Source organism: Homo sapiens, chromosome 15, assembly GCF_000001405.40.
Source record: "Homo sapiens chromosome 15, GRCh38.p14 Primary Assembly".
NCBI lineage: Eukaryota > Metazoa > Chordata > Mammalia > Primates > Hominidae > Homo > Homo sapiens.
The window spans coordinates 32,343,068-32,355,985 of NC_000015.10; the positions used below are offsets into that span (position 1 = coordinate 32,343,068).

At 52.3% G+C, this 12,918-nt stretch overlaps 2 annotated features.

The window, feature by feature from the left end:
• Window positions 9,423–9,969: an enhancer, noted in NCBI's record as "H3K4me1 hESC enhancer chr15:32644691-32645237 (GRCh37/hg19 assembly coordinates)". NCBI's record gives its function as "activates a minimal SCP1, AML or CMV promoter by ChIP-STARR-seq in naive H9 embryonic stem cells {active_cell/tissue: H9 hESC(naive)}" and the evidence as "EXISTENCE:reporter gene assay evidence [ECO:0000049][PMID:30033119]".
• Window positions 9,970–10,515: an enhancer, noted in NCBI's record as "H3K4me1 hESC enhancer chr15:32645238-32645783 (GRCh37/hg19 assembly coordinates)". NCBI's record gives its function as "activates a minimal SCP1, AML or CMV promoter by ChIP-STARR-seq in naive H9 embryonic stem cells {active_cell/tissue: H9 hESC(naive)}" and the evidence as "EXISTENCE:reporter gene assay evidence [ECO:0000049][PMID:30033119]".

Here is a 12,918-nt window from a genome sequence, read left to right on the forward strand (position 1 = left end):
ACCCTTTTCCGCGGGTGCACAAGTCCAGAGCGTGCGCGCGCTCCCGACTGCCCCCTCCTCCCTTGACCCAGCACCTTTCTGCCGGGCACAGGATCCCGGGGCTAGACTGCCTGGGCTCAAGTTCCAACTTAGCCACTTGCTGGCTGTGAAATACTTGCTTTAAGCAAGTATTTAAGCCTCAGTTTCTTTCTTTCTTTCTTTTTTTAACTTAATCCCAAATGTGATAGTCTCAGTTTGTTGATCTGAAAAACAGAAATTATTTAGTGAGAGTCTATGTGAAAACTTTAAAGTTTTTAAAGCCACTGCCTGGCTCAGGAAAGTCCTCAGCTTTAGCTGTTAAAGTTTTAAAAGCCACTTTAAAGGTTTTAAAGCCACTGCCTGGCTCAGGAAAGTCCTCAGCTTTAGCCTTTATCAGCTATGATTATTATTGTGTTGGCTACACGTGCATTGAGGCAGGAAAATGCTCAGGGATAACAACCAAGTATGCAAATTATCTCATCAGACCCAGCGACAGGCATATGTGTGCATGCTCATGTTTCAGCTCAGAGCCCTTTGTCTAGAAGGCTCTTGAACTCAAGAGGCCCAGGCACTATCAACTTGAATTTGCAGTGGAGCCATCACTTTTGTTGATCAATGAAATTGACATAACGCTCTTTTTTTTTTTTTTTTAAACACCAACCGTGTGCCTCGAGCTAACTGTGTCAAGAAAAGCATGCTTCAGTTGGCTGGAGTGAGCAATTTAACTTGTGGAGGAATGAGAAACGTTAGTGTTGAGAATAGAAACATAAAACCCCAGGGTAAGGTAGGAACCTACCTGAGAACCTTGGGTGAGTCATCCACCCTTTGGGGGCTCCCTGTGCCTCAGTGGAGTGAAGAATTATCCCTTCCTCGCCTTGCTGCCTCCTGGGAAAGTTGATAAGAATCAAGTGAAATTAAGACTGTCAGGCTGTCATTGTCATCCCTATCAGGGGAAGGGTCCTCTGGGGCCTGAAGGGGCTTTGGGTGAAGCACAGCTGTGTTTTCTCTAGGGACCCACCGTGTTCCCATCCTCCCCCATTTTGGCCCAGCCACTGCCTGTGCAAGTGTCACCCAATCCTTCCACAGGCCATCAGAATTCCACTTCCACCCAAGAGGGGAAAGGACACATTGGAGGCAGCACAGACATTAAACACGGTATTTTCAGAAGGAGCAGACATAACCTTACAGAAGTGCTTTATTTTCTGTAACTAGATTTTGTTTTACTGGAGGCAGCTTTGTATAAGGTTCAGGCGTCTCTTGGTCCATTTTATCAGAAGGAACCATGGGGGTCATTTCATCCATCCCTTTTCATCTAAGCAGCACTACATTCCAATCGTGAAGGCATAAGCTTTCCCTGTCAAGCAGGATGCTGCCCCAGACCCTTAGCATCAGGAAACCCCAAAGTCAAACCTGAATCCAGCCTGCTGAATGAAATTTCAGTCCCATCCTCCCTCCTTCTAGCAAAAGAAGGTTTGGGGGAGATTTCAAAACAGAAGCACTTCTCTCCCCAGGGAGAAACCGAAGAGGAGCAGCAGGTACTGCTCTTCAGCCCACACACCCATCTCAGGTGACAGGTCCCCTCCTCAGTGTGGGGCGACGTGGTGGGGGTAGGTTACCGGAGTGTAGCAGAGTGGGGGGAAACCCCTGGTGCCCTCCTGCTGAGCATCTGACCTTGAGCCCTTTACCCCAGCTCCCCCTTTCCATCTGAAGAACAGTGAGGGATCAGCAGACCTGACTAGAGGGTCTCAGGCATGGGTCCTCTCCCCCAGCCCACACATGAACACACGCACACACCCTTCCCAACACCCAGGTATGCAGATGCACACTCCCCCACAGGAGGAGCCGCCCGGAAATCCCTGAATCAGCTTTTCTGCCGTCCAGGGTCTGTGACAAGCGAGCTGCTGCCCTTCTGAAGAGAGGCTCCATGCCGGCCAGGAGCCGCGGCTGCTGCAGCACTGCAGTCCCCGGCTTCTGGAGTAAGGTCTCTGTCTTGGGGCGGGGGATGCCTGGAGGAGGGGAGGAAGGGGGATTCACTGCGGGTATTGGGAATTTCCCAGTTCCCCAGACTCTGTGGGGATGAGAAGCCCTGGAAAGCCCTGAATGACTGCCCCTCCCCCCCAACACACATGCACACAGGATTTTTGTGTGTGTGGGTTGGGGGGTGAGGAATGTCACTTCCTGGGTCAAACACCAAACTCGAGTCCTGGTCCTGAGTGTGCAGAGCAGAAGGCAAACAGAAAGCAGCTGCATGGAGGGTGAAGGAGAGGCTGAGGGGAGAGGGCGAGGGTGAGGTGGAGCTGGGAAGGTCAGGGGCAGTTAATGGCCAGACAGCAGCAGAAATTCCACCTGGCGAGCTGGGGCCCCGAGGTCTTATCGGGTGAGGTTGGGGGTTGAGGGTGAGGCCCAAGGATGAGACTGAGGCACAGGAGTGCTGCCCAGGCTCTCGGTTCTTCCTGCCCCTCCTGGTGCTCATAGTGGGTGTCAGCCTCGCTTTTCCCAAGTGGGAGAAAGCAGATCTGCGGAGGTGGGAGGTGTTGGGTCCATGGCAGAGCCCTTCTGCTGGGTTCCTATCTGAGAGCAGGCAGAGGGTCCTGTGCCAGCAGACGCTCTTCCTCCTCTGCCCCAACCCCGTACCCCTGCATCCCTCTTTCTCCCCTCTCCAGGTGGCCGGTGAAGAGCCCTGGCACCAGCCTTGACCTCACCCTCTGGGACAGACTGAGGCAGGGGACCGCGGGCTGCCGGAGCCCTCGGGGCGAGCTCCCCAGCTCCCCTTCCCCTCCAGCATCTGCCTTTTGTTCCACCTCTCTTCTCCCTCCCTTGACTCAGGAAAACCTTCATCCCTATCTCCTGAAGCAAATCGTTTCCCTCCCACCCCCGCCCGCACGCCGTTCCCTACAGCCAGGGGGTCCCCTCCCCCCCGTCCCCTCCCCCAGCCAATCCCCGGACCCGAGAGGCTGTAAACTCGGAGCTGGCGGGTGGGGTGGGGAGTGTTGCAGGAGTGCATGGAGCTGGCGGGGACTCCTCAGTAGAATCGGGGGAGTCCCGTAGGGCTCCGGGGGCTCGGAGCCGGCCCCGCCCTCCTCAAACTTCTGTAGGACCGCGCCAGTTTAAACCCCTCTGCCCCAGCCTAGTCCGTCCCGCACACACCTCCCCTTCCCCTGTCGCCCATTTCCCCCTCGGCCGGCAGTACGGACTGCAGAAGGGGGGCGTGGGCGCCAGGAGGCGGCCTCTCCCGCAGCGGGGATTGCCTGGGGCGGAGGACCTGCGTCGCGGTTTGCGGGGATCGCCTTCGGAGGGGCCGCACGCGCTGTGTGCAGGCGGATGTGAGGAGCATCTCAAGAGGCGGGTGGGGGAAGCGGGATCAGGTTGTTACTACTGCAGAGAGAGAGAGAGGAAGAGAAGAGAGAGAGGGAGAGACTCGAGAGCGAGCGAGCGCCGGAGCGAGGGCCGCAGCGGCAGGGCCGGCGGGGAAGTGGGAAGAGGGACCTGGACTTCGGGACCCCAGCCGCCCCCGCCCCCGCCCTCTCCACCAGCTCAGGCTGAACGCGCCTGGAACGTCCCAGGGTAAGAGGGAACCCCAGGCGGGGCACCCCACGAGGGCAGCCAGTAGTCCCGAGCGAAGCCGTGCCTGGACCGACAGTGGCCACCTCCAGGGCCTGAGGCGCGGGCGGACGCGGGGTCACCAAACGGTGACACTCCGACTTTTGGGGCTTGGCGCTCACCGCGGGATAAACTAAAGAGTAGGACTGAGCCCGCGGTGGGAACTGTAATCCGGAAATCCATGGGCGTCGGAATTACCTGGCTAGACCCCGGGGAGGTGTCCTGAATTATCTCGGGAACCCCTCGCCCCCAACCTATTTCTCCCCGCGGAGAGCCCGGGTTCAACGCGGAGAGAAGGCGAGAGAAGCCGCGGTGCCTTAGCGCTGGGACCGGGGACCTGCGGGGAAGCAAAGGCGACTCGCCGCAGAGAAGCCGTGGGAAGGGCGCGGGGAGGTGCATGAAGTGGGCGTGCGGAGAGAAGTGGGTGCTGGGCGCGTGGGACCCCGCCGCGCCTGCTTCGCTGAGGAGGAGCTGGAAGAACATGCTCGCGCGACCCTGGGGAGCCCCTGGCGCAGAGTGGGGTGTGCCGGAGGCACCGGCGGTGCGCAGGACTGGCTGCCTTTCTGAGCGCCCCTGCCTTGCCGCAGCCGTCCAAGGTTGAGATGAGCGGCTGTATTTTCTACCCCTTCCCTCTCCCAGGAACTTTCCCACACTTTGACACGCGCCACGGCTCTGTGCATTGGAGGAAGCAGGCTCCCGTGGATCCTGGCAAGCTTGCAGAGGCCCGGGTGGGCAATGGGAGGGGGCAGCTGGGCAGTGGAAACGAGGGCCCTACTCAGTGTGCTGTGTGACCTTCGACAAGCCGCTGCACCTCTCTGAATCTCAGGATGATGGAGGCACATGGTAACCAAGACAGGAATGGGGACGAGGTGGGGGAGGGTGCGCGGGGGAACAAGCTCATGGGCACGTCTGCCCCAGCCTCTGCACCTGGGAATCGCTGCCTTTGGTCACTGGCCTCTCTTAAGTGACTTCAGTGCTCACTTCCGGGGCAGGGGGTGGCAAGGTGGAGCTGTGAACCCAGCGCCCCGGGGAGAGTCGGAAAGCTTCCATTCTGACCTGTCCTATGACCTTGGGCAACTCACTGACCCACTCTGGGCCTCAGTATCTTCATCTGGAAAATGGGGTTTGGAATTTAAGGTATCTGAGGTTTCTCCCAGTCCCAACACCCTGCAGGTGTCGCCCACTGAAAGGTTGGGGATGGGGTGCAGCTGGGTAGAATGACCTGGCCTCTGGGAAGACTGTAGCTCCCCTACTGCACCCCCCATCCCAAAGTAGCAGGGCTGTGACACCCTCAGCCTGTTCATTGGTCATCTCTCCCAACTCTCAGAATCCAGCTGATGGGGAGAAAGGCGGGCTTTCCAGCATTACACATCCTCTTTGCAGAGGGCAGATTCTTTCCTAGGGAAAGGTTCGCTGTGACAGACAGATGACCATAGGTTAAAGGGTGATGTCAAGGACCTCACAAGGTCATGCTGTCTGCTCTCTACCTCCAGACAGGGCTGCATTCATCTCAGATAAGGAAGATCTGAAGGAATTGTCTCGTTTTAGAAAGATCTCCACTACAATAGCCTAGAGCACCCCACTGTGCAATGTGACAGTCCTTGCCATAGGAAAGTCTAATCTAACTCCTTTTTGGGATGAACTCTGGTTCTGTCTTCAGTTGAGATGAGACAGTAACTTCATACTGGGCATTAGGGTGTTGCGGACGAGTCCGAGTTTGAGACAAGAGAGCTGAGTTTAATTTACAGGCTCTGCCTCCAATTTTGTGACCTTGTGTGACCTTGGGCAAGGCCCTTTCTTGCTTTCCTCCCCTGTACATTGAGAAGGTAGAACTAGTTAACTTCTCAGGCCCTTGCAACCCCACAATTCTGTGGCTGCAGTTCTGGGCTGGTGTCTGAGTAGCAGGAAGTGGGCTTGGCTGGGTGATGGGAGCAGGTGGTCTCCAGGAATTCCCAATGCATTGCCCTCCCACTTCTGTCACCAGAGTCAAGACAACTTGAGACAAATACAGTATATGAATTTCAAAGCCCAGCACACCCCTGGAGGGAGTCCCCAGGAGACCTTGGCTCTACTGGTTATTAGCTGTGTGACCTTGAGCAAATTACTTTATATCTTAGAGCTTCAGTTACTAAGTAGTCAAAACAAAATGAGAATAGTGGTGGTATTTTAGGGTTTTTATGAGGATTAAACAAGAAGCATATGTAAATACTTGGTCCAGTACTGAGCTAAGTCCTTAGTGAGTGGTAGCTATTGTCAATAATAATACAAGCTGTGTAGCAAGCAGGTGGCAGGGCAGCTGTGAGCAGTGGCCATGGGGAGCAGGGAAAGATTGTAGATTTGCAGTGTGATCTTCCCCTACCATCTTCAAAGCTTCCCTACAAAATGGGAACATCAGCACTATCTCTCTGTCTCTCTCTCTCTCTCTCTCTGATCATTAGGACCATTCTGCATTAGAAACTTCATGGGAAACAGAGAGACTGCTTGACTTTCCAATAATCTCACACCTGTTTTCCTTTGGTTCTCCCTTCCCCACTCTCTGCCACACCTCTGGTTATGATAAAATGGGCCTTTTACTCCATTCCCCGAACCTTCTAGGAAGGGACCAACTGAGAAGCAGAGAGGGGTAAGGCCAGATGTCCCTGGAGTGAGTGGCTGAAGGCATGTCTACACCCAGGTGGAAGGAGTGGCAAAGGGACTGGCTCAACCTGGAGGGGGACTCCCAGGACCCCATGGCCGGGACCGAGGTTTACCCTAGACTTGCTGTGTGACCTTAGGCAAGTCGCACGCCACTGTGGACCTCAGTTTTCTTGTATGTGAAGTGAAAGCTTGGTTTAGATGACCCAAAGTCCTTCTGGCTTTGTTGATCCACGACCCTGCTGGCTCTGCTTTTGCCGAGGCTGGGTGGGGGTGGAGGGGGTGGGAGGTTTGTTGGAGTCATTCAGGCTTTGGGTGTTCACTGCCCTGTGATTCCAGTCCTGTAAGTCAGCTTGGGGAGAGGCGATGACCTCCCCTTCTCAGTAAGAGCGCTGATGGTTAAGAGCAAAGTCTTTGCAGATAGATACATCTAGGTTCCCATCTTGGCTCGCTCCTTAATATCTGTGTGAATTCAGGCAAATTACCAACCTCTCTGAGCCTCAATTGTCTCATCTGTGAAAAGGGAATATTGCCAACCTGGAATAGGAAGTCCATAGTGTGATACTGACTAATGCACAAGGAATGGGTTTTTGAGGTTCTGTGTTATCACAGAGAGGGCTCAAGTTAGAGGAAGAGCAGGGATACAGTTCACAGTCCTGCAGTTGTCACCATGCACACAATCCCCCAAAATGCCCCAATGTCCTGTGTCGTCCTCCTGCTGTGCACTGGCCGCAGGCTCCAGGAGTTTGCATGCTCTGGTCTTCATCATGGGACCTGGAGAAAGGAAGAGCTCAGCCACAAAGGCCAAAGGCCAAGCAAGCATGAGTCTGAGAGGAGTGTGGCTGACAAAAGGCTCCTGATGATGAAGGAACACGAGCCAGCGGCATGGCATCCCTCCATTCAAGGTTAGTCATGAGGAAAGGCTGTGAGATGCTGCCTTGGAGAAAAGCTGAAGGAGCGGGGGACATCGCCTTCCGCAGGGATGTGTTAGATGAGTGCCACGGCAGGACGAGGCACTGAAAGGGGCTGTGGGATCATCTCATCCAGCCCTCTGTTTTGATTATGGGGAAACTGAGGCTTAGAGAGGGGGAGCTCCTTGCCCAGGATCACACAGCATGTTAGTACCAGCGATGGAGCTTGCCAGCCCTTGTAGAACCTCAATGCAACGCTCTTTCCTTCCTCCCTGTTAAGCACCAAGCAGTTATTTTCCATTTTTTCTGAAATCAGAGCACAAGGTAAAATGCCTTGACTGCAGCAGAAAGGACATGGGTCCTGATAGGAAGGAACTTCCTGATCTAGATACTGAGATCATGGGGTCCAACCTTCCCATTTTGCAGACTAGAACATGGAAGCCCAAGAAAATTAAAGAACTAGCATAAGGTGACCCAGTATCAGACACTTGAATTCCCAGGCCTGAGCTCTCTCAGTTATGCCAGCTATGCCACGCTGCTGCTCTTGAGCCAGACAGGGCAGCAGGATAGCCAAATGTGAAAAAAATAAACCCAGATGGGCTTGGGGAAGGGAGGGAGGACAGAAAGACAAAAGACCAAAAGACAGAAATATTACTTCCAAGACCACACTTTTCTTTCTCAGCTTGTCTCAGTTGGCCCTGCTCCCGCTGTTGAGGCTGACAGCTTGCTTTGCCCTCTGACAGGAGAGAGGAGGGAGACAATAGCCAGCCCCATTGGTCTCACTTCCATTGACAAGGCTGAGTGAAAGAAAGTCAATATTTGCCCAGTAGCAAAGGACAGGGAATAAGTGTGACTTGGGATGGGGCGGGGTAGGGGCAAACAGGGTAGGGTGATGGGGCTTTTGTCATTGCCGTGTTGCTCATGGAATCACAACTTAGCAATTTAACAAAGGGTGCATTTGGAAGCAGAAGGGTTTCTAGTAGATGGTAATGTGGCTATACTGCAGCAGGAAGGGCTCATGTGAGGTGCAAGGAAGGACTTCCTACCAGGGAATTGCCCGCTGTTGGCAGTCCTGAGCTGACTCGTGTGCCCCTAGTCCATGGTTTTTGGTTTTGGTTTTCAGGTTTTTTGAGTGAAAAGGAAGGCTGCAGTGTGTAGGGCCTCGGGTGTGAGCACTTGACTTCTAAAGGAGCTTTTGGATTTTCCGCATTAAATAACCCTTTGTACCTCAGAGTGCATCCAGCCCCATTAGCAGGCACCATCCTCCTGGAAACCCTGATCCCTAATAAACTTCCCTTATTGTTTGGAGCTGACACCTCCCCAGCTTCCAGCTCCCTGGAGAAATGGAACTCTTAAAGCTTTTGCAGAAAGGCCTCCGAGCAGATGGCCCATTGAGCGGATCTCTCAGGCAGAGGCTGCAGAAGCTGCAAGAAAGGCTGTGTATATACCCAAAGGATTATAAATCATGCTGCTATAAAGACACATGCACACGTATGTTTATAGCGGCAATATTCACAATAGCAAAGACTTGGAACCAACCCAAATGTCCAACAACGATAGACTGGATGAAGAAAATGTGGCACATATACACCATGGAATACTATGCAGCCATAAAAAGTGATTAGTTCATGTCCTTTGTAGGGACATGGATGAAATTGGAAACCATCATTCTCAGCAAACTATCTCAAGGACAAAAAAACAAACACTGCATGTTCTCACTCATAGGTGGGAATTGAACAATGAGAACACATGGACACAGGAAGGGGAACATCACACACCGGGGACTGTTGTGGGGTGGGGGGAGGGGGAGGGATAGCATTAGGAGATATACCTAATGCTAAATGATGAGTTAATGGGTGCAGCACACCAACATGGCACATGTATACATATGTAACAAACCTGCACATTGTGCACATGTACCCTAAAACTTAAAGTATAATAATAAAATTTAAAAAAAAAAAAAGAAAGTCTCAGTTCCTTATCTGGGCCCCCAAGCCTAGGGAAAGATGTGGAAGAAGTCCTTGGCAGGTCAAGGGAGGCTGTGAATTTTTTTTCTGCCTTTGCTTTGTTACCTTTCCATTTTTCTTCTCCGCATGTTGCTCCTCTTTTCTCTGTGTCCTGAGATTGGGGAGGGGCTGGGGGGGAAGGAGGGGCAAAGCCCACAGCCTTTCCCCAGCTGGAATGGAATGCTTGAACCCTGTAGCAGCTGCCGTCTGCTTCAATGGCTTTTGTGATTGCTGTGTTGCTCATGGAATCACATCTTAGCAATTTAACAAAGGGTGCATTTGGAAGCAGAAGGGTTTCTAGTAGAAGGTAATGTGGCTATACTGCAGCAGGAAGGGCTCATGTGAGGTACAAGGAAGGACTTCCTACCTGGGAATTGCCCGCTGTTGGCAAATATGCTAGGTGGAAAACCGTGGGAGTTGATCCACCGGACTCACTTACTCTCTTGGGAATGAGCCAGGTTTGTTACCTGCCCCTGAAGGGGCCACAGTGACATTCCTGGAGGTCAGTGCTGCCACCCAAGACTAAACCTAGTCCCACAGCCACCAAATTAATCATCAGGGCCGGCAGTCCTTGGAGACCAGAAAGCCAGAGTAGCTTCCTAAGCCCTTCGTTTGGCCCCGGGCACTGAGGGAGGGGCAGAGGGTGAAAGGGGGAAGGAAGGCCCTTGGCCTGGCCTCAGCCCAGCCAGCCCTGCAGCCAGGAGAGATACTGCAGCACCTACCAGCAGCCGGCAGGAGAGTGTCTCAAAGCTGCTGCTCACAGTGGGGCAGACGGAGCCTGCCAGCTCCAAGCCTGCCTTCAACCTGCTCCCCACTGCTCGGCTGGGCTGGGACTTGAGGGCAGCTGGCTGCTCAGAGACAAATTGCAGCCTGTCCCCCATCCCCGCCCCCAGCACATGGCACCTGGGTGAGAGCACAGCCCAGCTTCTGGACTTATGTGGACTTCCTGCACACACACTTCGTCCTGAGCCTAGTCGTGTGCCCCTAGTCCATGGTTTTGGTTTTGGTTTTCAGGTTTTTTAAGACAGGGTCTCACTCTGTCACCCAGGCTGAAGTGCAGTGGTGTGATCACGGCTCACTGCAGCCTCAACCTCCCGAGGCTCAGGTGATCCTCCCACCTCAGCATCCCACATAGCGGGGACTACAGGTATGCACCACCGTGCCTGGATAATTTTTGTTTTGCAAGGTTTTTCTTTGTTTTTGTTTTTGTTTTGTTGTTGTTGTTGTTTTGGTAGAGACAGGGTTTCACCATGTTGCCCAGGCTGGGCTCGAACTCCTGGGCTCAAGCAATCCTCCTACCTCAGCCTTCAAAAAGTGCTGGGATTACAGGCGTGAACCACCATGCCCAGCCCCTAGTCCATGTTTTAGTGAGACTTGGAATATGCGAAGCCTTGTACTTGTATGTGCTTGGCACTGTGGTGCAGTGGTTAAACCTCAGATGCTAGGGCTAGGTTGCCTGTATTCAAATGCCAGCTCCTCCAGTTTTTTATCTGTGGGACTTTGGCTAAGTTACTTAAACACTTGTTACCTCAGTTTCCTCATCTGTAAAATGGAAATGAAATAGCTTGCCATCAGGTTGGCATGAGGATTTGATGTATGACTATTTACATATAGCTCTAAGAATAGGCAGTGCCTGACACACGGTGCTATAAAGATTTTGCCATAAAGTGCTATAAAGAGTGTTATTATGGTGTTTCTGAAAACTGACTGACGTTTTGTAGGTAAAGAAACATAGCAGCAGAGCTGGGAGTGGGGCGAGGCAGGGGTATGATTGGCTTTGATGAGAAGAATCTAGAATCCAGTGAACCCACTATTAAGTTACTGCACATGGCCCCAGGCAAGCGGTTTTTCCCTATCTCTTGGACCTCAGTGGTCCCCATTAAAAAATGTGGAGAGGGATGCCTGCCTTCCTCACTTCTCCCAAGATGTCCTGGGATCGAATGAGGCAGATGATGGTCTGAAATAGCCAGTGAGCCTAGCGGATGCACAGGTTGGCCTCTCCCTGTCCCTGCTCTGGAGCACATGCTGGCTTGCTGGCTGAGGTCCTGGCATGTTGGGCTTTCTACCAAGGGCACCAAACCCAGTGTACTGCTCTCCCAGTGAGGCCACTTGGACTCTGGGTGGCTCTGGGCTGAATCTGGCCCTCCTCATTTTCTGTTCTTCCTTATTTCACCTGGAAAAAGGATGGTGGTTTTGTATCTCCTAATGCTCCTTAGCAAGGGAGAAGGAGTGTTTCTGAATGCAGTGTATAGTTGTACAAGCAGAGAAGGGGGCAGGAGAACCTCTCCTTCAAGCTGGGACACCCTGGCCATGAGCTCCAGACAAACTGAGGTGATGCCTTTCCTGGGTTGTCAAAAGTGGGAGCTCCTTCCCCCTACCACTTGCAGCCAGACTATCCACTGTGCAGGGAGGCAGGCAGGGGGCTGATCAGAAGCAGCACATTGAGTCAATATCACATTCAGCATCTTTCCTGCCAGGTAAGACAAGGACCCTGGTTGTTAGTGCCCTTGTCGCTTCCTTCTCTTTCCTCCTTCCTGGCTGGGAGGGAGAGCCAACCTGACCTGCTCACAGTATTGGAGTGATGGTTAGGTTAGGGCCTCTTGGTTTGGCCCCAATATCTTCTGCCAAGAACCATGGGGGTGACCAGGTTGTATATACCCAAGCAAGCAACCAAGTGATGCCCACTGCCCTACAGACTTCCCACCTGATCATCTGGGGTGAGTTGTGTGTAAGGAGAGGGAAGGCCACTTTATAAATAGCCTTAGAAATGTCTGCTTCTGGAGCTGTCCTCAGAGCTTCTTCCTGAATATCATTTTACCAAGAGCCCCAGAGATGAGGTTTCTTGGCCAAGGTCACCCCCAAAATCAACCGTGAGCTCATGTCTTGAAGTCCACTATACTTCATCTGCCCCATTCCCCAGGCTTCCCTAAAGAAGATATCCAGCATTGCCTAGAAATGTAGCTTTCCCTTCTGGTGCCTGTCTCCTGTGACCCTGCTCCTGACCTCATATCCCCCTGAATATCATCCCTTGTAAGTTGTATGGGTTTGGATTAGAGAGCGGGGAGAACTTCCTGAGTGGCCTCATTGGGACAGGGAATGGAGGCTTTCCCCAAGATACATAAGGGCAGGCCTGCTCTCCATGAGTCTGAACTGGATCAGGTCTTAGGAGCTTCAGGAGTTCGACAACACAAAGTCCAAAATCAGGTCCTGCGGCCTCCTAGGCATGGGACTTTGGGCAAGTTGCTGACTGGCTCTGAGCCTTATCATTAAATTGGAATGGATATGATTTACTATCTTATAGAAGTTTATAAATATATATTTACTTTTTGAAAACAGCTTTATTGAGCTATAATTCACATACTATACAATTCACCCATTTAAGGGCACGATTCAATAGCTTTTAATATATTCACAGAATTGCACAACCATCACCACGATCTAATTTCAGAACGTTTTTTCACCCCTAAAAAGGAACTCCATACATATTAACAGTCACCCTCGATTCTTCCATTCCTCCCAGCCTTAGCCAACTAATCATCTACTTTCTGTCTCTATGAAATTGCACCTTCTGGATATTTTATTTAGATGGAATTATATAACACATGGTCTTTGGTGCCTGGCTTCCTTCACTCACATAATGCTTTCAAGGTTTAGCCACATTGAAGCATGTATCGGTACTTTATTTCTTTTTATTGCCAAATAACATTCCATTGTGTGGATATACTGCGTTTTATTTCTCCATTCATCAG